The sequence below is a fragment of the Homo sapiens genome, chromosome 3 (genome assembly GCF_000001405.40).
Source record: "Homo sapiens chromosome 3, GRCh38.p14 Primary Assembly".
NCBI lineage: Eukaryota > Metazoa > Chordata > Mammalia > Primates > Hominidae > Homo > Homo sapiens.
This window is the reverse complement of record NC_000003.12, coordinates 87,083,940-87,107,836: the sequence shown is the minus strand read 5'-3', so window position 1 is coordinate 87,107,836 and position 23,897 is coordinate 87,083,940. Positions and strand designations below refer to the sequence as shown.

At 38.0% G+C, this 23,897-nt stretch overlaps 1 long non-coding RNA gene across 2 annotated transcripts in view, besides 1 other annotated feature; it reads right to left on the bottom strand.

Moving 5' to 3' along the window:
• The window catches only part of LINC00506 (long intergenic non-protein coding RNA 506), a 67,790-nt gene extending 49,233 nt beyond the window's left edge, over positions 1 to 18,557 (bottom strand). The window contains exons 1-2 of one of the 2 annotated variants that reach the window (NR_047469.1): positions 18,230 to 18,557; positions 9,135 to 13,106 (exon numbers count right to left, since the gene is read on the bottom strand). This is a non-coding gene — a long non-coding RNA (long intergenic non-protein coding RNA 506). Of the gene's footprint in view, positions 1 to 9,134; positions 13,107 to 18,229 lie in introns of those variants that run through there. The other variant, NR_104153.1, reaches the window with a different exon arrangement.
• Positions 18,537 to 18,586: an enhancer, noted in NCBI's record as "active region_20109". NCBI's record gives its function as "activates an Ori minimal core promoter by ATAC-STARR-seq in GM12878 lymphoblastoid cells {active_cell/tissue: GM12878}" and the evidence as "EXISTENCE:reporter gene assay evidence [ECO:0000049][PMID:35858748]".

Here is a 23,897-nt window from a genome sequence, read left to right as displayed (position 1 = left end):
CCCCAAAGTCTTAACTCATTTCAGCATTAACTCAAAAGTCCATAGTCCAAAGTCTTATTTGAGACAAGGTAAGTCTCTTCCACCTATGAGCATGTAAAATCAAAAGCAAGCTAGTTACTTCCTAGATACAATGAGGGTACAGGCATTGGGTAAATACAGCCATTCTAAATGGGAGGAATTGGCCAAAACAAAGGGGCTACAGGCCCTATGCAAGTCTGATATCCAGTGGGGCAGTCAAGTCTTAAAGCTCCAAAATGACCTCCTTTGACTTCATGTCTCATCTCACATCCAGGTCATGCTGATGCAAGAGGTAGGTTCCCATGGTCTTGGGCAGCTCTGCCCCTGTGGCTTTGCAGGGTACAGACCCCTCCTGGCTTCTTTCACATTGAGTGTCTGCAGCTTTTGCAGGAACATGGTGCAAGTTGTCAGTGGATCTACCATTCTGGGGTCTGGAGGATGGTGACTGTCTTCTCACAGCTTTACTAGGCAGTGCCCCAGAGGGCACTCTTTGTGGGGTCTTCAACCCCACATTTCCCTTCTATACTGCCCTAGCAGAGGTTCTCCATGAGGGGCCTGCCCCTGCAGCAAACTTCTGCCTGGACATCCAGGCATTTCAGTACATCCTCTGAAATCTAGGTGGAGGTTCCCAAACTTCAATTCCTGGCTTCTGTGTACTTGCAGGCTTGATACCATGTGGAAGCCAACAGCACTTGGAGCTTGCACCCTCCGAAGCCATGCCTTGAGGTTTACCTTGGCTCCTTTTAGCCAGGGCTAAGATGCAGGGTACCAAGTCCTGAGGCTGCTCACAGCAGGAGGGACTTGGGGCTGGCTCACGAAACCATTTTTTCTTTCTAGGTCTCTGGGCCTGTGATGGGAGGGACTGCCACAAAGGTCTCTGACATGCCCTCAAGACATTTTCCCCATTGTCTTGGCAATTAACATTTGGTTCCTCATTACTTATGCAAATATCTGCAGCCCGCTTGAATTTCTCCTCATAAAATTGGTTTTTATTTTCCATCACATCATCAGGTTGCAAATTTTCTGAACTTTTATGGTCTGTTTCCCATTTAAAACTGAATGCTTTGTTACAGCACCCAAATCACCTCTTGAATGCTTTGCTGCTTAGAAATTTCTTCCACCAGATACCCAAAATCATCCCCTTCAAGTTCAAAGTTCCACATATCTCTAAGGCAGGGGCAAAATGCCACCAGTCTCTTTACTGTTTTAACAAGAGTCACCTTTGCTCCAGTTCCCAAGTTCCTCATCTCCATTTGAGACCACTTCAGCCTGGATTCCATTGTCCATTATCAGCATTTTGGTCAAAGCCATTTAACAAGTCTCTACGAAGTTCCAAACTTTCCCACATTTTCCTGTCTTCTTCTGAGCCCTCCAAATGGTTCCAACCTCGGTCTGTTACCCAGTTCCAAAGTTGCTTCCACATTTTTGGTTATCTTTACAGCAATGCCCCACTCCACTGGTACCACTTTACTGTATTAGTCTGTTCTCACACTACTGATAAAGACATACCTGAGACTGGGTAATTAATAAAGAAAAAAGGTTTAATGGACTCACAGTTCCATGTGGCTGGGGATGCCTCACAATCATGGTGGAAGGTGAAAGGCATGTCTTGCATGGTGGCAGGCTAGAATGAATAAGAGCCAAGTGAAAGGGGAAACCCCTTATATAGTAATCAGATCTTGTGAGACTTATTCACTACCACGAGAACATTTGGGGGAAACTGCCCCAAATGATTCCATTATCTCTCACTAGGTCCCTCCCACAACATGTGGGAATTATGGGAGCTACAATTCAAGATGAGATTTGGATGGGGACACAGGCAGACAATATCAGGAATTATAGATTATATTAATATAATATTTTGAGACTTTTTTTATATTCAGCATAATGCCTTGAAATTCATCTAAGTTGTTGCATAAATTAATAGTTTGAGCTTTTTATTGCCAAATAATATTCCAATGCATAGATGTATCATAGTTTTTCAGTTCATATGTTAAAGGATATTTTCATTGTTTCCAGTTTAGGATGGTTATAAAAACTACTATAAAAATTTGCTTCTGTGTGAAGATAAATATTTATTTCTCTAAAATAAATACCCAGTGGTGGGATCACTGGGTCATGTGATAAGTGAATATGTAGCTTTATTTTTTTAAAAACTGCCAAACTGTTTTCCAAAGTGGTTATACTATTTTCGTATTCACGCCAACAATGTATGGAAGTTCCAGTTGCTCTGCATCCTCAACAGCACTCAGTGTTGTCAGAATTATTTTTAAGTCATTGAAAAAGGTATGTAATGGCATCTCATCACGGATTTAAATTGTATTTCCCTAACAGCTAATGATTTCAAACAGTTTTTCAAGTGCTTATTAGACATCCTTATACCTTTTTTGGTGAAATATCCACTCAAATTTTTTGCCCATTTAAAAACTGGTAAATTGGGCTGCTTTCTTTGCAATAAGTTTTGAGGTGTCTTTATACTTTTAAATTGGTCCCATGTACAATATTTTCTGAAGAGTAATCTCAAAAAAACAGTGATTCTGATATTTTTCTTCATTACCATTATCTCTAAAACTTCTAGCACAACAGAAATAAACCTGCTACTTTCTAAACCTGTATCTGTTGTGTTCATCTTTATCCTTTTACTTGGCTCTGCTTCTATCCTTAACCTTCTATTATGTATTTTCTTTTTGGTATCTCCAGACCTGCTTTTGCATAATCCATTCTTTCCATTAATTTATACATGTTGAAGTCTCTGTATTTAATTTTTAAGAAGAAGCTAATCTATGACTCCTCTCTAAATTACTACCTGTCTACTTTCCATTGCTACTCTGCTTCTTGAAAAATGTTCTATATTTGCTAACTTACCCTGTCAATATCCAACCTGGACTCTTCTTTCATTATCATTCTGAAAATATTCTCACAATTGTCACCAGTGACCCCAGTTGCCTCTAATGGTGGCCTCTTTGTGTTCATTTTATTTACCTTTGTGATACTATGGCATTTTTGCCCACCACTTTTCTCCAGATAATAACATCATGCACACAAAAAAATCTTTATCATTATAGTCACAGAGAAAGGTAAAGTAATATATATTTTTGGAAGCAGATTATTTTATTATGTTTTTTGGAAAAAAGTATAAGAAATTTCATGAGAATAAAGGATGCGGAAACACTCTGAATTTAGCATCCACATATAATTTAACTGGGTTATTTATATAACATGAAAGAAATTTGTATTCATAGTATCTTGTTTCATTTGAGTTCTGCCTTATTTTTGAAATATGTGAATTCGTCTACTAGTCTTTCAGTGCTCCATTTTCATAATTTGTAAAATAGAGATAAAAATAGTAGTTGACTCCCAAATTTTTTGCAAACATTATGTGAGATGGTGGACACAAAGCATTTAGTAGAGTATCTGAAATATAGAGTAATTAATAAATCAACTAGTTTTTAAAAATCCTTTCCCTCCACATTTCTGTAATTAAATTTTAAAACTGAATTTTAAAGACAAAGCAATTTATTCAGCTTGAAATATCATTCAGTTTTAATACTGGAAGCTTATAAAACAAATTTACGGAGCTTTAGGCACAGTTTTTCTTTTGATTGTGCATGTCTGAACACAGAGTTGATGATCTGTGGTGTGTCTCTTACCTAATTTGGGTAAATAATCTCCTTGTGTCTCTGCAGAGAACCTTCACACAAGGCAGATATATGGAGTTTAACCAAGTCAATGGGATTCTGCCCTATGAGTGTAATCTTACTGATACAGCATCATGAAGAATTAGTTCAACCATTACTTGGAGTGCTAATTAACAGCAAGCTAATACAAAATGTCTCTGCTTAATCATCTTTTCTTTATTAAAAATCAGTTACTTATAACAAATTATTGCACAAGAGCTTGTGCATATAGTTTAGTTCCCAAGGTTTCCCTTGATCTTTCTTTCCACATAATTCTATAAAACATTCTGCATTAACAACTTAAGGTATTATTGATTTATTCTCTATTATGCACTATACATTAAAATACTTTCATTTTATCTTGCTTTCTTCCATAAACTCTATTGCCCAAATAATATAGTTAAGAGCCTTTTGCATAATACACATCAAGGTTTTCTTTATTTTTGTTGTTGAATATCCATCTATGCTCTTATAATTCCAGTTTTGCAAAGAAACAAGGGTTATTAACCAGATTCAACTATAATGACTCTTCTTTGGACAATCTTTTGGCAACAGCAAAGAAGTAAACCATGGAAAATGAATCTATTAGAATCATCATACTTAGGAAATAACATGGTTATAGCTAATTATAATAATGTCTCTTGGTAATGTCTTGATTTTTATACTGGAACTCATAGTAGAAAATTGCTCAATGTTCCTATTTGTCTTCATCCACTAAAGATGGAACAGTTATTTCAAACTGACTTTTGTGTGCTTATGCAGTATTGTGTATGTGGGTGTAGAGAGGATGCAGTCTTCTTTCTTTCTAAAAATGTTATATGGCATATGTTTATGTAAAAATTGTTTTCAGTGTAAGTTTGGTTTGTTTTTTAAAGTTATACAAAGATTCTTATGATATATGGCATAATCTCTGAGTCAATTAAAATCTTCAAGTTTTAATTAGTGTTAATGTTGGTTTCAAAATTTGCACAATGGAATTTAGTTCCTTGTTTCAGTGAAAATGTCTTTGTTATGTAATAAATTTCATCCATGCTTATTGTAAAATATTTAAACAATACAGAGTAGATGAAACCAATGGGTTTTATTATATCAATTGGAGATAATAGTATATGGCTCTATCTATGTCCACACATTAAAGTTGATGAACTGCAGTAGGAATGTTCTTACCATTTAGCTGCTCCCTCAGATATGAAAAACTCAAGTGGGCAATATTGATTTGAAATTAAAGGTACCTCACCTAGGTAGTAGGGATCTCAGGTCAAACCTTCTCTACCCCTTCTTTTTCAAAATTTAATGTGTATATTTATCACTCTGGGATCTTGTTCAATGAAAGATTGTGATTCAATATGTTTGGAGTAGCGTCTGAAATGCTGTGTTTCTAACAGGCTCCCAGGTATACTGATACTGCGCTATTAAATGGGGGAAAGAACTACACAGAGGGAAAATGAAAAAGTAGTTTACAAAAGGTGAGGGAAGGGACTTCCCTGACCTCTACTGAAAAATAGAAAGCAAGAAATATTGAAAGCTAGTAATGCTCTTGCTATGCTTGAGGTATTTCTTTTATTTTTGTTGCTGTTCTATTTTGCTTTGTTTTCCCAGAATGGTTTGTTATTTGTGAGCAGTTGTCTGGAAACGATAGGAAATTCTTTTATATTGTATACATGAATACGCTACAAAGCTTTTCATTAGGCACTGATTTATCTAAATTTCTTTAAAACTATTGAAAAGGAGCCAAACTCAGAGTTTGAACTATCCAAACATTTCAAATAGTCAGAAAATCAGAGGGTCTTTCACTTATAAACACAAGGACTTGCTTAATAGACTTTGTTTTGCATGAGGTTACTGCATAATTCACTCTCTAGTAGAATTTAGAGAAAGATATGTTCTACCCTTCTCTGTAGGAAAGTTTTAAAGAAAAAATAATCAACAGTACCTTTCAAATACCACAAAACTACAGGAACATCAGAATGTCATCATCTATGGCAGACACATTCCATGTGCTTTCTATGCTAAGCATATCTCTGATGAGATGTAGGAGAGAATGTAAGGGGCACCCTGCTTGGGATTTTTGTTAAACGATTTGTGAGAAACAGCGCATTTGCCTCCCACACAGCCCACATCCTGGGCCTTCGTATTTCAAAGATGAGTAAATAGTAAATAAATACATAGAAAACGAATAAGAAAGGAAATGAACATATGCTGACAAAAACAAATTTAACCAATATACATACATTAAATAAATCAATTACTAGCACTGTCATTTCTAAAAAGAAATTACATGACAACACAAAAATGTAGATAGGGAAAATGTCTAGTATGGTATAATACCAAAACTCAACCAGCCTAGTATCTTTCACTTATACATAAATTGTTCTTCTTGAACCATGTAAAAGATTTATGCTTTATCTTTGCCTATTTTTATTGGTTTGTTTGTACATTTGTTTGTGTTTTCCAAATGGAATATAACTAACTGGTTATATTCCTGGTAAATGCTTAATTACAGACCATAGTTCCAGAATAACACATCAGGAACTTTTGTTTGTTAAAGTGGTCAAATGGCTAAACTTTCTTTACTCATTTTAGAATTAAGGCTATGGATATTCTAGAAAACTAAAAGTTAGCATAGTTTGTGGTATAAATCGTAAATTCAGGGAGAAAGAGTTATGGATTTTATATTTTTTTCTTTATAATGAAGGTCTCTTCAGAACACTTTTCTAAATCAATAATAAAATAAATTTATCATTAATAAAATGTACGCACAAAGACCAACATCTTCCATGGAGCCTTATGCATCACCTTGTTAGAGAATCCCAGAGTCATGCTTACCTGGAGGATGTTGGCATTTCTCAAGTTAACCATGAACCTCAACTGCATTATGAAATATTAATGCTAAATCATGTTCTCAGTTGTTGTTATACTGGCTCCTTCTTAAAACTTCTTCTGCAAAGAATACAGGCACTTTCAAAAGGGTAAAGAAAATGTCATTGCAATTTTTTCACTGATAAATGTATTATATGTATATTTAATTAGTCATCATTTGAGTTATCTGAAGTAATAATTATGCAATAATGTTTCGTTCATATAAGAATAGATCCCTTGAGGTCTCATAAAATATGATCCAATTTAAAGTATATTAAATATATTTATCTTCCCAGAATAAGAAAACATACCACAAAACCTAAGCTTAAAGCAAAGGCCTGTTAAAGAAATTAGGCTTTAGAATAAAATTCAACTCTACATGCTCAATGTAAAAGATAACTAAAAGTAAAACTGGAGGAAGAAGAATAAACACTGACATTCTTTTACAGAATAGTTTTTCGATATGAGGAAAATAAATAAAATAATATTATATGTTTTAAATAAATTATGATATTTGAAGCACACATTTAAAAATGATAACCCATTTGGTTCCATTATTATGAAACTTATAAAAATCAGTAAATTTTTGAATAAGAATAAGGTGGTACAATGACTATTATTTGGCTGGATTTAGCATCTAGGTCAGTGCTGGGCATTTGGTACTTATTCTTTAAATGCTGAATGAACATATGAATTAAAAAGGCAACAGCGTCGTTGAGCTTCTGACTTATCTGTAGTGGTTCTGAGTGTATGGATATAACATTATATAAATGATCTGGAATTTAAAGTTGATTTTCAAAGTTTATTTATTTATTTACTTTTATTATTATTATTATTTTTTGAGATGGAGTCTTGCTCTGTCACCCAGGCTGGAGTGCAGTGGCGTGATCTCAACTCACTGCAAGCTCCGCCTCCCGGGTTCACGCCATTCTCCTGCCTCAGCCTCCCAAGTAGCTGGGACTACAGGCACCCACCACCAGGCCTGGCTAATTTTTTGTATTTTTTAGTAGAGACGGGGTTTCACCATGTTAGCCAGGATCGTCTCGATCTCCTGAGACCTCGTGATCCACCAGCCTCGGCCTTCCAAAGTACTGGGATTACAGGCGTGAGCCGCCGCGCCCCGCCGATTTTCAAAGTTTAAAGACTTAAGATGAGCATGTAGATACACCTATTCATAAGGAAAATATTATACAATTTGTAAGAGTGGAATTGACAAAGTAGGGAAGTAATGTATTGCTGTTATCAAAAACTTAGGGAATTTTCAGTCCATAATATATATCATGTGATAGGTGTTTTTATGTCTATATCCAGTAAACTACATAAGCAAATGTATGTACATTGCAAAATTAAAAATTCAGAATTTGTTTAGAAAAGTTGATCACATGGTAAACTCCACATTAAAAAGAGACAAAGGAAGCAAAATAAGAAAAGCAATTCCTGCATTCTCGAGTAGGGTAAGAAGTGGTTTATTGCCAACAGAAATATCAACTATAAGATGTATGTATATATTATTCCCTAGGACATATAGATTGGTTTGCTAAAAACAGCAATCATATAAATCATAAAGTCCTCAACTAGCACAGCTTTTGAATGCAAAGTGAGAGATTTTTTGCCATGAGAAAACATTTCTAATTTCATCTGGGTCAGAGGTTACCTTTCCAAAGCAGCTTTGTTATAAGAATGTACCTTGAAGAAAACTTTACAGGGAACATGAAAGCAATTTGTCACAATGCAAAGACTGCTTATAGACTGATACTGCATTTTGATACACGGCCTACTGATGTGTAATAATATATATTAAACTTTGGATGAAAGTGGCTAGAAAGATTGAAATCACTCTTACAGATTACTTCTACATGATACAGGCATAATATATGTCAAGAATAATAATAGATATATCAATCAATATTTTATTTCAAACAATATTGCTTTTTTATTATTATATTTTAAGTGGCCATATATCTAATATCAAGTATTTAAATATAAACTAAATCTATATCATATATTACTATACTAGACTTTTTATAAAATTTGTAAAATTTTTTTTTTTTTTTTTTTTTTTGAGATGGAGTCTCACTCTGTCGCCTAGTCTGGAGTGCAGTGGTGTGATCTCGGCTCACTGCGAGCTCTGCCTCCTGGGTTCACGCCATTCTCCTGCCTCAGCCTCCCGAGCAGCTGAGACTACAGGTGCCCGCCACCACGCACACCTAATTTTTTGTATTTTTAGTAGAGACAGGGTTTCACCATGTTAGCCAGGATGGTCTCGATCTCCTGACCTCGTGATCCGCCCGCCTTGGCCCCCCCAAAGTGCTGGGGGGGGGGTGCAAAATGTTTTATTTATAATTACCAGCAGCAATCAGGTAAGCAGAGTGTTTTTGTAAAGAATTCTAAAGGGTCAATTCATACTTACTAATTTTATTTTCAAGTAGATCAGGAATCAGCAAAATTGTTTTAAGGGGCCAGATACTACATATTTTAGGTTTCCAGGCTGAAGGCAAAATTAAGGATAAAATGCAGATCCTCGTATAACAAGAAAAATTCTTGCTAGTATTATAGATGAAACACAAAATAGAAATCAAGTACAATTTGATAATTATTTTATTAACATTTTATGTAATCAGTGTTCAAAGTTGTGCTCATCATAAATAATTGCTCATCTGTTAATGCTGATCTGAAACGAGATTTTACAGATTTTGTCTTTGAAATAGCTTTTCACATTTAAGAGAACTGCCAAATACTGATATCAATCCATTAGCATATAATTTCAATTGTACAAATTTATCCCTTAAAAGGCAGATAGAATTCTGTCAGACTATTTTCTTAATATTTGTATTTTATTATGTCATTGCTTTACAGAGTAATCATTTCCAGTTGAAAAGTTAGGTGGCAGTGAGGGTGGAGCCAAGATGGTCGAATAGGAGCAGCTCCAGTCTACAGCTCCCAGCGTGAGCGACGGAGAAGATGGGTGATTTCTGCATTTCCGACTGAGGTACCAGGTTCATCTCACTGGGGAGTGTCAGACAGTGGGTGCAGGACAGTGGGTGCAGTGCACCGAGTGTGAGCCAAAGCAGGGTGAGGCATCACCTCACCTGGGAATTGCAGGGGGTCAGGGAATTCCCTTTCCTAGTCAAAGAAAGGGGTGACAGACGGCACTTGAAAAATCGGGTCACTCCCACCCTAATACTGTGCTTTTGCAATGGTCTTAGCAAATGGCACACCAGGAGATTATATCCGGTGCCTGGCTCAGAGGGTCCTAGCCCACGGAGCCTTGCTCATTGCTAGCACAGCAGACTGAGATCAAACTGCAAGGTGGCAGCAAGGCTGGGGGAGGGGCGCCCGCTATTGCCGAGGCTTGAGTAGGTAAACAAAGCGGCCGAGAAGCTCGAACTGGGTGGAGCTGACTGCAGCTCAAGGAGGACTGCCTGCCTCTGTAGACTCCACCTCTGGGAGCAGGGCATAGGCAAACAAAAGGCAGCAGAAACCTCTGAAGACTTGAATATCCCTGTCTGACAGCTTTGAAGAGAGTAGTGGTTCTCCCAGCACCCAGCTGGAGATCTGAGAACAGACAGACTGCCTCCTCAAGGGGGTCCCTGACCCCCAAGTAGCTTAACTGGGAGGCACCCCCCAGTAGGGGCAGACTGACACCTCACACGGCGGGGTACTCCTCTGAGACAAAATTTCCAGAGGAAAAATCAGGCAGCAACAATTGCTGTTCACCAATATCCACTGTTCTGCAGCCTCCGCTGCTGATACCCAGGCAAACAGGGTCTGGAGTGGACCTCCAGCAAACTCCAACAGACCTGCAGCTGAGGGTCCTGACTGTTAGAAGAAAAACTAACAAACAGAAAGGACATTCACACCAAAACCCCATCTGCACGTCACCATCATCAAAGACCAAAGGTAGATTAAACCACAAAGATGGGGAAAAAACAGAGCAGAAAAACTGGAAACTTTAAAAATCAGAGTGCCTCTCCTCCTCCAAAGGAACACAGCTCCTCACCAGCAATGGAACAAAGCTGGATGGAGAATGACTTTGACGAGTTGAGAGAAGAAGGCTTCAGATGATCAAACTAATCTGAGCTAAAGGAGGAAGTTCAAACCCATGGAAAAGAAGTTAAAAACCTTGAAAAAAAGTAGACGAATGGCTAACTAGAATAACCAATGTGGAGAAGTCCTTAAAGGACCTGATGGAGCTGAAAACTAAGGCACGAGAACTACGTGGCGAATGCACAAGCCTCAGTAGCTGATTCGATCAACTGGAAGAAAGGGTATCAGTGATGGAAGATCAAATGAATGAAATGAAGTGAGAAGAGAAGTTTAAAGAAAAAAGAATAAAAAGAAATGAACAAAGCCTCCAAGAAATATGGGACTACGTGAAAAGACCAAATCTACATCTAATTGGTGTACCTGAAAGTGACGAAGAGAATGGAATCAAGTTGGAAAACACTCTAAAGGATATTATCCAGGAGAACTTCCCCAATCTGGCAAGGCAGGCCAACATTCAAATTCAGGAAATACAGAGAACGCCACAAAGATACTCCCTGAGAACAGCAACTCCAAGACACATAATTGTCAGATTCACCAAAGTTGAAATGAAGGAAAAAATGTTAAGGGCAGCCAGAGAGAAAGGTCGGGTTACCCACAAAGGGAAGCCCATCAGACTAACAGCTGATCTCTCGGCAGAAACTCTACAAGTCAGAAGAGAGTGGGGACCAATATTCAACATTCGTAAAGAAAAGAATTTTTAACCCAGAATTTCATATCCAGCCAAACTAAGCTTCATAAGTGAAGGAGAAATAAAATCCTTTACAGACAAGCAAATGCTGAGAGATTTTGTCACCACCAGGCCTGCCCTACAAGAGCTCCTGAAGGAAGCACTAAACATGGAAAAGAACAACCAGTACCAGCCACTGCAAAAACATGCCAAATTGTAAAGACCATCGAGGCTAGGAAGAAACTGCATCAACTAATGAGCAAAATAACCAGCTAACATCATAATGACAGGATCAAATTCACACATAACAATATTCACCTTCAATGTAAATGGGCTAAATGCTCCAATTAAAAGACACAGACTGGCAAATTGGATAAAGAGTCAAGACCCATCGGTGTGCTGTATTCAGGAAACCCATCTCACGTGCAAAGACACACATAGGCTCAAAATAAAGGGATGGAGGAAGATCTACCAAGCAAATGGAAAACAAAAAAAGGCAGGGGCTGCAATCTTAGTCTCTGATAAAACAGACTTTAAACCAACAAAATCAAAAGAGACGAAGAAGGCCATTACATAATGGTAAAGGGATCAATTCAACAAGAAGAGCTAACTATCCTAAATACATATGCACACAATACAGGAGCACCCAGATTCATAAAGCAAGTCCTGAGAGACCTACAAAGAGACTTAGACTCCCACACAATAATAACGGGAGATTTTAACACCCCACTGTCAACATTAGACAGATCAATGAGACAGAAAGTTAACAAGGATATCCAGGAATTGAACTCAGCTCTGCACCAAGCAGACCTAATAGATATCTACAGAACTCTCCACCCGAAATCAGCAGAATACACATTCTTTTCAGCACCACACTACACCTATTCCAAAATTGACCACATAGTTGGAAGTAAAGCACTCCTCAGCAAATGTAAAAGAAGAGAAATTATAACAAACTGTCTCTCAGACCACAGTGCAATCAAACTAGAACTCAGGATTAAGAAACTCACTCAAAACCGCTCAACTACATGGAAACTGAACAACCTGCTCCTGAATGACTACTGGGTAATAACAAAATGAAGGCAGAAATAAAGATGTTCTTTGAAACCAATGAGAGCAAAGACACAACATACCAGAATCTCTGGGACACATTCAAAGCAGTGTGTAGAGGGAAATTTACAGCACTAAATGCCCACAAGAGGTAGCGGGAAAGATCTAAAATTGACACCCTAACATCACAATTAAAAGAACTAGACAAGCAAGAGCAAACACATTCAAAAGCTAGCAGAAGGCAAGAAATAACAAAGATCAGAGCAAAACTGAAGGAGATAGAGACACAAAGAACCTTCAAAAAATCAATGAATCCAAGAGCTGGTTTTCTTGAAAAGATCAACAAAATTGATAGACTGCTAGCAAGACTAATAAAGAAGAAAAAAGAGAAGAATCAAATAGATGCAATAAAAAATGATAAAGGGGATATCACCACCGATCCCACAGAAATACAAACTACCATCAGAGAATACTATAAACACCTCTATGCAAATAAACTAGAAAATCTAGAAGAAATGGATAAATTCCTCGACACATACACTTCCCAAGACTAAACCAGGAAGAAGTTGAATCTCTGAATAGACCAATAACAGGAGCTGAAATTGTGGCAATAATCAATAGCTTACCAACCAAAAAGAGTCCAGGACCAGATGGATTCACAGCCGAATTATACCAGAGATACAAGGAACAGCTGATACCTTTCCTTCTGAAACTATTCCAATCAACAGAAAAACAGGGAATCCTCTCTATCTCATTTTATGAGGCCAGCATCATCCTGATACCAAAGCCTGGCAGAGACACAACAAAAAAAGAGAATTTTAGACCAATATCGCTGATGAACATCGATGCAAAAATCTCAGTAAAATACTGGCAAACCGAATGCAGCAGCACCATCAAAAAGCTTATCCACCATGATCAAGTGGGCTTCATCCCTGGGATGCAAGGCTGGTTCAACATATGCAAATCATAAATGTAATCCAGCATATAAACAGAACCAACGATAAAAACCAAATGATTATCTCAATAGATGCCGAAAAGGCCTTTGACAAAATTCAACAGCCCTTCATGCTAAAAACTCTCAATAAATTAGGTATTGATGGGATGTATCTCAAAATAATAAGAGCTATCTATGACAAACCCACAGCCAATATCATTCTGAATGGGCAAAAACTGGAAGCATTCCCTTTGAAAACTAGCACAAGACAGGGATGCCCTCTCTCACCACGCCTGTTCAACATAGTGTTGGAAGTTCTGGCCAGGGCAATTAGGCAGGAGAAGGAAATAAAGGGTTTTCAATTAGGAAAAGAGGAAGTCAAATTGTCCCTGTTTGCAGATGACATGATTGTATATCTAGAAAACCCCATCGTCTCAGCCCAAAATTTCCTTAAGCTGATAAGCAACTTCAGCAAAGTCTAAGCATACAAAGTCAATGTGCAAAAATCACAAGCATTCTTATACACCAATAACAGACAAACAGAGAGCCAAATCATGAGTGATCTCCCATTCACAATTGCTTCAAAGAGAATAAAATACCTAGGAATCCAACTTACAAGGGATGTGAAGGACCTCTTCAAGGAGAACTACAAACCACTGCTCAATGAAATAAAAGAGGATACAAACAAATGGAAGAACATTCCATGCTCATGGGTAAGAAGAATCAATATCATGAAAATGGCCATACTGCCCAAGATAATTTATAGATTCAATGCCATCCCCATCGAGCTACCAATGACTTTCTTCACAGAATTGAAAAAAAATACTTTAAAGTTTATATGGAACCAAGAGAGAGCCGACATTGCCAAGTCAATCCTAAGCCAAAAGAACAAAGCTGGAGGTATCACGCTACCTGACTTCAAACTATACTACAAGGCTAGAGTAACCAAAACAGCATGGTACTGGTACCAAAACAGAGATATAGACCAATGGAACAGAACAGAGCCCTCAGAAGTAATGCCAGATATCTACAACTATCTGATCTTTGACAAACCTGACAAAAACAAGAAATGGGGAAAGGATTCCCTATTTAATAAATGGTGCTGGGAAAACTGGCTAGCCATATGTAGAAAGCTGAAACTGGATCTCTTCCTTACACCTTATACAAAAATGAATTCAAGATGGATTAAAGACTTAAATGTTAGACCTAAAACCATAAAAATCCTAGAAGAAAACCTAGGCAATACCATTCAGGACATAGGCATGGGCAAGGACTTCATGTCTAAAACACCAAAAGCAATGGCAGCAAAAGCCAAAATTGACAAATGGGATCTAATTAAACTAAAGACTTCTACACAGCAAAAGAAACTACCATCAGAGTGAACAGGCAACCTACAGAATGGGAGAAAATTTTTGCAGTCTACTCATCTGACAAAGGGCTAATATCCAGAATCTACAATGAACTCAAACAAATTTACAAGAAAAAAACAACCCCACCAACAAGTGGGCAAAGGATATGAACAGACATTTCTCAGGAGAAGACATTTATGCAGCTAAAAGACACATGAAAAAATGCTCATCATCACTGGCCATCAGAGAAATGCAAATCAAAACCACAGTGAGATACCATCTCACAGCAGTTAGAATGGTGATCATTTAAAAGTCAGGAAAGAACAGGTGCTGGAGAGGATGTGGAGAAATAGGAACACTTTTACACTGTTGGTGGGACTGTCAACTAGTTCAACCATTGTGGAAGTCGGTGTGGCGATTCCTCAGGGATCCAGAACTAGAAATACCATTTGCCCCAGGCATCCCATTACTGGGTATATACCCAAAGGATTGTAAATCATGCTGCTATAAAGACACATGCACACATATGTTTATTGTGGCACTATTCACAATAGCAAAGACTTGGAACCAACCCAAATGTCCAACAATGATAGACTGGATTAAGAAAATGTGGCACATATACACCATGGAATACTATGCAGCCATAAAAAATGATGAGATCATGTCGTTTGTAGGGATGTGGATGAAGCTGGGAACCATTATTCTCAACAAACTATTGCAAGGACAAAAAACCAAACACCACATGTTCTCACTCATAGGTGGGAATTGAACAATGAGAACACATGGACACAGGAAGGGGAACATCACACACCAGGGCCTGTTGTGGGGTGGGGGGAGCGGGGAGGGATATCATTAGGAGATATACCTAACGTTAAATGACGAGTTAATGGGTGCAGCACACCAACATGGCACATGTATACATATGTAACAAACCTGCACGTTGTACACATGTACCCTAAAACTTAAAGTATAATAATAAAAAAAAGATACTCTGTGAAAAATAAAATAAAAAAAAAGAAAAGAAAAGTTAGGTGGCAGCTTCTCAATTGGAAAATTAAACAGATTCTGAGATATCAGAATTTCCTCTGTCCTTTCCTAAAGATGAGAAAAATGTAATTGAAGCTGTAGCTTGATCTGGGAAATTATAGATGCTTCAAATAGTGTGGGAATGGAGTTCATTTTGTTTTCACTTTTTCCAACATAAGAAATTTACAGATCAACTCAACATTACTAGGGATTTATATAACATTCGTTATCTAAAGGATATATTGCAGTATAACTTCCATATATAAGCACCATCTTGCCTTGTATATATACAGGTTGAATTCATTAAGAAACATTATCAAGGCCGGGCATGGTGGCTCATGCCTATAATCCCAGCACTTTGGGAGGCCGAGGCGGGCGGATCACGAGGTCAGGAGTTTGAGACCAGCCTGACCAACACGGTGAAACACCATCTCTACTAAAAATACAAAAATTAGCTGGGCGTGGTGGCACGTGCCTGTAATCGCAGCTACTCAGGAGGCTGAGGCAGGAGAATCACTTGAATCCAGGAGGTGGAGGTTGCAGTGAGCTGAGATCGAGTCACTGTACTCCAGCCTGGGTGACAGAGCGAGATTCCATCTCAAAAAAAAAAAAAAAAAAGAAAGAAAGATATAAGAAGCATTATCAAGTCTGTAGCAAAAGCTAATTTCCAAAGTCATTCAGTGGTTGTTAGTACAGGCCAAGGGAAATTCTTTTCATACAGAAAAATATTTTGATCTCTTCCTTAAGCTCAAAAATTTCAAAAAAATTGAGTCCTAACCCATCAAACTGCCATGCAGTAGGACAAGCTCAGGGTATTCATCTTTCATTTCTAGTTGTCTGAACTGTTCACCAGAGTGAATGTAGTTCAGCAATGACAATGCTGGTTTAAATAACAAATGATAGATTAAAATGTTTTATGCAAAGTACTGCTGATGAATAATAAAATGAATAAATAAATAAACAACGTATATTTTCACAAGCTTTGTAAATTTTTTCAAATTAGACTTTTTCTGTTCCACATACTGTCTCAGATTCAATTGAAAGAGATCTTAGCAGATTGTACTTCAGGTTGTAATGAATTCATATTTTCTCAACTTCTTTAAAAATATTCTCATGTATAGTTGTTCCCAGCAGACTATTCATAGGAGATGATTCTTTAGTGACTTCAAACTCAACATTAACTCCTCAAGGAAATAACAGCATTGCTGCCAACTCATCTAAACATACTGGATATTTGCTTTGTTCTTTAGTTGTCTGTTGTTGCTACTGCCAATACCCTCAACTCTTCAAGCAACTGTTCATGTGGAAAAGATAATGGTCTTTACAGTATAAATGTGTAAAATCCATACATAGCTCTCTGGCAGTACAAAACCAGGTGGCAAGCTAGAGATATCTAGCCTATTGGCAGTAGTTAGCTGACACTTGCACTGGATGATAATGATTCTGAGAGATGTACATTTCTGTCAGAGTAGGCCCTCTGTAACATGACTGTTAATTAAAAGTATATATACAGATACATGCATATATTAAAAATATATGTAAAACATATACATAAAGTATATATACATATATACATATATTAAAGTGTGTATACACATATATATGTACACATATAAAAGTGTATATATTTATATATGACAGTATATGTTAATTTTGGTGGGATTTTGTTCTGTATTTGAGTTCCAGTAAACTTAGATATATCTAAAAATGTAAGCCATAAAACTTCTCTTCACGGGACAGGATTATGTGCTGGAGCTAGCTCACACCCTAACTAGCATCAATTGTTCAAATTCTAAAATTTTGAGTTAAAATTCAATTGCATACACTTGTTTGTAATACACTTGTTAGATGAATTTTACTGGAAAAGTAATGGAGACACAAAATTCATTTCTTCCTAATTAGTTGCTACATTTTGCTGTTATCTGTGTTCTTAGAGTTATTTATGTCTATTGTACCTTTTAGGTGGAAAAATATAAAAGAGTGTGCAATTGTGACTCTCTCCAAATCTGTATTCAACGACTACATATTGTAACTTAAAATCGCCTATGATGGGTAATTTAAACACAGAAGTCAGCAAATGCTACAAATCAGGATTTGGTTTATGGCTTTGTTGATTGTCTAGGCTAAGACATTTACGGAGTGAAATGCAATAATGAAGAAGAGATGTAAATACGTGTTGGGTCAGTAGCCATTGCTTTGTGAATAGCACATATACACTCACAAATAATTTTTGAAAACTATTATCCAAATGAGGATAAAAGTCACTCAAGTCAGAGTGAAGTTCTGTTGTCCATCTTCGTTTTTTAATTTCCTCTTTCTTGTTAATACGTATGTTAGAAAATATCAGGAGGCCTGTTGATCATGCCCTGTCCTACCAGTGGCCTCTGAGCTGCCTGCTTGGCACTGCTAAGCTGCCCCTGGATTGGTTACAATGTGGGCTTTTGTCTGGATTACAGGCGGAGGAAGAATGGGGAAGCAGCAAAGCAAGAGCCTTGCTGGAGTTGGCCACTCCTCTGTGCAACAGCCTAAATAGCGCAGCACCCAGGACGCACTAGGCCCTCCATAAATGTCAGCTTAACAGAAAGTGACAATTAATCCAAACCTGAGGCGAGTGAGAGGCGCAGCTGCAGGATCAGTGGGTCCTAGGGCTTCCTGAAACGCAGTCTTGAGGCTCCTGTAGGAAATTTTCTCCCTCTCCCCGCAGGCATGGCTTTTGTACGAGACGGAATGAATGTCAAGCTCAGGTTCAACTCGCGCTTTGGAACCCAGGAGGTATCCTCAGCGAGGCCTGATGGAGGACAGGAGGGGCTGGCCGAGGGTGGAGAGCGAAGGGATCGCCGGAGCGGAGCGAGGGTCTCATCCCCCCTGCAGGACCCTGGCAGACCCACACGTTCCCTCCTTTCGCACAAGTCGGTTGCTGCCCTCTACCCTTTGGCAGGGCATAAGAATGACTTCCGCCGCGGAGATCCAGCGCTTCCTTCCATTTTGCCTCCTGGCCCCTCCTGGAGACCGCAGCCGGTTTCTTGGCAGCTTCGCGCCCCAGAGCAGGAAGGGACCGGGACGCGGTCACATTTCAGCTTTGGTGGCTGCGCCCGCGCCCCCGTACTCCGGGCAGGAGATCTGGGCTGCGGGCGCCAGGCAGAGCTGGCATCTTCCGGGACCTGGATGGTTGTTGCGTAGGGGCTCCCAAGCTAAGCTGGTGTAGGAGCTCTCAAAACTCCCTTTCTGGCATCCCACGGAAAAACACATGAATCAGAAATTCCTCTGCCTGGTCCTTCTGTAGGGGCCGAATGGCTGGGAACTCCCAGGTACTCGCGTGGGGATCATAACCCAGAGACTGCGGGGCGACCCTCGGAGAGAAGCCCCCTGCAGCTGCACTTGGCTTCCTTTTGAGCCCTACTGCCTGTCAGGGACCCCGAAGACTGCGAGGCCAGGGGTACAGACCTGGGGTGTGCTGGCGTCCCCTTTCCATCCCAAAGTGCTATTTTATTTTCCTTTCGCTTCACTCTGGGTCTCAAGCCCTTTCAGTTTCTCAGCAGAGCAGGCCATTTCGTCTGTTCCCAAATATCTTTTAAAAGTTCATTTGTCTCGCAATCTCCCCACAATGCAGAATCTTGTACTTATCCTTTGGTACTATTAAAATAAGATAACATTCACCATTAAATTGGTCCAAAATATCTTTAATGTTAATATTTAGGTCGAGAAGCGTTGATGGCTCTTGCACAGTCTTGTGTACAAGGGAGGGAAAAGTAGTACAACTTCTCTGGAGAATAATTTGACAAAATATGTAAATAACTTTAAAAATACTTTTGAACTTGATCCATCTTTTTCTAGGATCTTTCAAAAAATTATATGAAGTCTTGATAACCTACAAAGATCTTCATCACATTATTATTTGTAAAAGAAAAAAATGAAAACAACTTTATCCACAACAAGAAACATTAGATAAGTTATGATATGTTCATCTTATAGACTATAAGTTGTCATTAAAAAGATTGACTGATGCTGTCAAAGTACAAGAAATAAAAAACATGTAAAAACAGAAACAAAAACAACCACAAAAACAAAAAAACAAGAAACAAACAACAACAAAACCTCTGCTTGTCAAAATATTCAAACCATTTAAAAACAAGCTGGTAAATGGTGAAATTATGTATGGCAAGAGTATCACAGATTTAAAAATAAAACATAAAAGGAAAAATAAAAAAAACACAGCCTCCAAGAAAAGTAAATTAGGTATTTGTACTTAGATTGTTAATATAGAAAGCCCTTTTATCAATGCTAATAACACTCCCAAATATTGTGTACATTATTAAAACCATTCTGGACGACAATTTGTCAAAGTAAGTTTATTCACAATACCTAGTTAGTCATTATTGTCTAGCAGGCACTAGGAAGGTTTCTCTATAGGAGCAGGGTAAGGGGAGAAGGGTTTTGCTATCAGCCCCGTAGGGAATTATATGAATGTAGGGTATTGACAAGTGGGTGGTTTAGCTCCCTCCTTCACATGACTTGATTTGATTAGTGGGAGTGAGCAGACATGAGAATATGTCAATTCAAGTTGAGGCTTTAAGAAGTGTGCTGTCTTCTGCTTGCTCTAGTGTGCTTAGGGTACCCCTCGTGAGAAGAAGATGATTCTGTAGCTATTGTTCAAAATTTTAGCCTGGGCCCTTGAATAAAAAACAAACCAGACTGATGACAGCAAACTTGAAACTCAGACCTAGCAAAGCCCAGAGGAACAAGTGCTGATCAACAGAACTGCAATTAAAAAGTAAATCTTTGTCATCGTAGCCCCTAAGTTTTGAAGGTCACTTGTTATGCATGGGTATTGCACAAAACCTACTTAATACGCATGCACAAGGTAGAACTGTCCTATCCAAATGCCCTGCGCCCCCTTCATCCCCTGCCCTAAAAACACTGGAAAAAGTGAATGAAGAAAAAAGCTACAGTCCCTGACTATGTGGAGATGTGGGATGGATATGTACATCCAACACATAATCGCATACATAGTTATATAATTACAAATTGTCATAAATGGTAGCCAAGAAATTTGGAAAAGCATAGGATGAAAAGAGGAACAGGAGGAATTAATTTCAATTGGGAAATTTAATTGAAATTAATTTCAATTGGAAAATGGGCAGAGTATAAGCAGAAAAGGATTTCAGTTAGAAAGAACAGAGTGAACAAAAGAGAAGAGCAGCGTGGGGCCTTGGAGCTTCTGGTAGGTGGTCAGGGTGCCCAGAGCACAGAGAGCTCTAGATGAGGTCTGGGGGAACAGCAGGGTCCAGCTCACACAGGGCCTTATAGGCCATAATGGGGATTTGGATCTTATGAGAAGCTCAATAAGAGACATAGATATGTATTTCTTTCAAACTAAAATTTATTCATGTAAACATATTAATCTGAAAACTAGAGCAAATTCAGCCCTTGGCATACACAAATGGACATTGAATTTTGAAAATATCCAAAAGTGAGACTGTTCCTATAAAACCATTACTACAGTGCACATTACAGGGGGCTTTTTAAACACCATCAACTGAAATACTATCTATACACTAGCTACAAAATAGAAGAAAAGGGAATAATTTACTCATGAAATTCACTTTTAAATAAATGAGATATATAAAATATTCTCAACAATTAACATTTTTGTCACCTTTCCATTTGCTTGTATAATAACAGTGAAACTAAACAAAAGGAAATTCTTCTTTTGGAAGAGAGGCAAAAAAACTTCTGTGTTTCTGAGCCATAGAAGAGTCTTGCTAAATATCAACCAAAAAATAGTATAATTACATGATCTAAAATTAAAATAAAATAGAAACAATTTACAATCAGATTCACATATAAATATTTATGCATTATAGATTTACATTTCTAATATAAATATAAAATATGTATACATTAATAAAGTACTATGCTAAGAATTATAACCTTTAAAATTTCTATTTGCACTATCATCTAATCCCTTAAACAGTGGTCCTTAATATTGCCAAGATAGAAAAACATTAAAATTGTTTTAGAAGATTAAAAAAAAAAACCATTTGCTGTAGACTCATTGAGTAGACTAGTTGAAGACTAGCCTCTCCATTTCATTTGGGAGAGTTAAATCAAAAGAAGGTCCCCAGCAAATGCCAGTACAAGGAGCATCATGATGTACTCTGTCTTTCCCTTGTGGAGCCGCTGGTGCATCTCCTTCTCCTAGGGTTCTAACACTGGGGCGGGGGAGGGGGGCGGCATCTTATCTTTAATAGCCACTAGACCCTCATTTTCTACACTATTGCACCTTCCTTGGGATCTAGAGAGCATTCCCTGGTGGGCTTCTCGGGCCTCTGCCAAATGTCCAATTTAGAACACCGGGGATATCAAGATACTTCTCAAAATGTTCATATTCAATTCTAACTCGAAAACTTCCTGTCTAAAGTTGCCATTTTTCCTTCCTGAACTCATCAGTTACTCTTCGTTATCAGTATTCTCAACCTGCTAGCATGAGCTTTTCTTTCATGGGAAACACGCTGACGATGATACTTGCCAGTGATCATTTACACTGTTTCTGAAAGATTTTGGCATGTCTAGCTCTTAACATGAAAGGCTGTTTTTATCAATTGGTTTGGTAAGATTCTTCTTTATTTTTTTGTGGTAAATTTACTCTAAATTGTGTATTTCATGAAAATCCATTTGTTTTTCTTGATGTAGTTGAAGAAGGACATGAAATATCTTCTGGAACTATTGCTTTTTACTTTCTGACCATGATTTCTTGGTTGCAGCAAATCTGCTCAGTTTAATACTTTTAATATAATATTTAGGTACATTGATTATTTTATCTTCTTCAGTTATTTTAATGTACATTTCATTTATTTCTTCTCTGTTAAAATAAGTGTGTTTTCTATGCTTGCTGTAACAAATTACCACAAACAGTGGCTTAAAACAATGTAAATTTATTATCTTGCGTTCTGGACATCAGCAGTCTGAAATCAGTTTCCCTGGGGTAAAATCAGTGTATCAACAGGGCTGCAGTTCTTCGAGCAGCGCTATCGGAGAATCCATCCCTTCTCTCTCACAGTTTCTGGAGGTGGCCTACGTTGCTTGATTCATAACCACATCTCTTCAACCTCTGCTTTCATTGCATCATTTCCTTCCTGGACTTGGATCTTTCTGCCTCCCTTTTACAAGAACCTGTGTGATTACTTTGGAGCTCACCCAGGTATCCCAGGGTACTCTCCCCATCTCAGGATACTTAAATTGATTATATCTATGAAGTCTCTTTTGACATGTAAGTGAATAGAATACATTTACATTTTTGTTCTGGGACTTAGGACATGGATACCTTTGCCAGGGAGAGTAGGGGACATTATTCAGCTTCCACAGTAAGTTTTACTAGGCCACATCAGTCCATTTCTTCAAAACTTCTAAGAAATCTCCATTTCCTGAAACATTTGTTTTAGGAAATTCCAAGTTCCCACCATCCATGTCGTCTTCTCCAATAACAGCAGTCAGATCACTGAGCTTCAGCAAGGGTTAACCTAGAAATTTGATCTGATTTTTACTTTTAGAACTTGTTCCATACCACTTTTGCATTTTATAGCATTGCATTTCATTTAGTGTTCACTAACTCTTCTTTCCCATCTTTCTGCTTATAAAAAAGTCTTCATACTTTCCTCATGATTAGAATTTTTATCAAAGCATTTTAATGTCTGAAGTTGTGCTTCATTTTGCTGATGTATAATGAAGAGTGTTTTAGCTGAAATGTAGTTGAAGCAGCTACTTGAAATTTTAAATGTTTTGATGCACCATTTGCCATTAAAACACTGAGTCTTTCTTGTTACATTTATTATCAGCCCAGCTTGTTCTAAACATTGAGATTTCTCTTCTTTCAGTCTTTTTTCTAGGTAACTTTTAAAAAGCCAACATAAAGAATTGGAGATTTCCAGGTCTTTGTATTTCTGTTAAAGTGTTCTCAAGTCTGGCTTTCATTAAAGTTGCTTCAATTCCTGAAAATTCCTTTTTATGAACCTCAAGCATCTCGAAGATGTGCTCTCTTTCCTTCAGAAGGGCAGAAACTTCAATGGCCAGTCAGGGATGCCACCAGGATGGACCAGGGTGATGTAGAGTTTCATGGTCATCAGTGGATCTATGGCTGAGCCCCATCATGTTGCCAGACTGGAGAACTCTATGAACATTCTGTCTGGAGCCATACCAGTGTCTGGCAACTAGGGTAGACCTTAGTGGAGGTAAGAGAGAAGGAACAAGCACTGTAGAAGAAAACCTTCCAA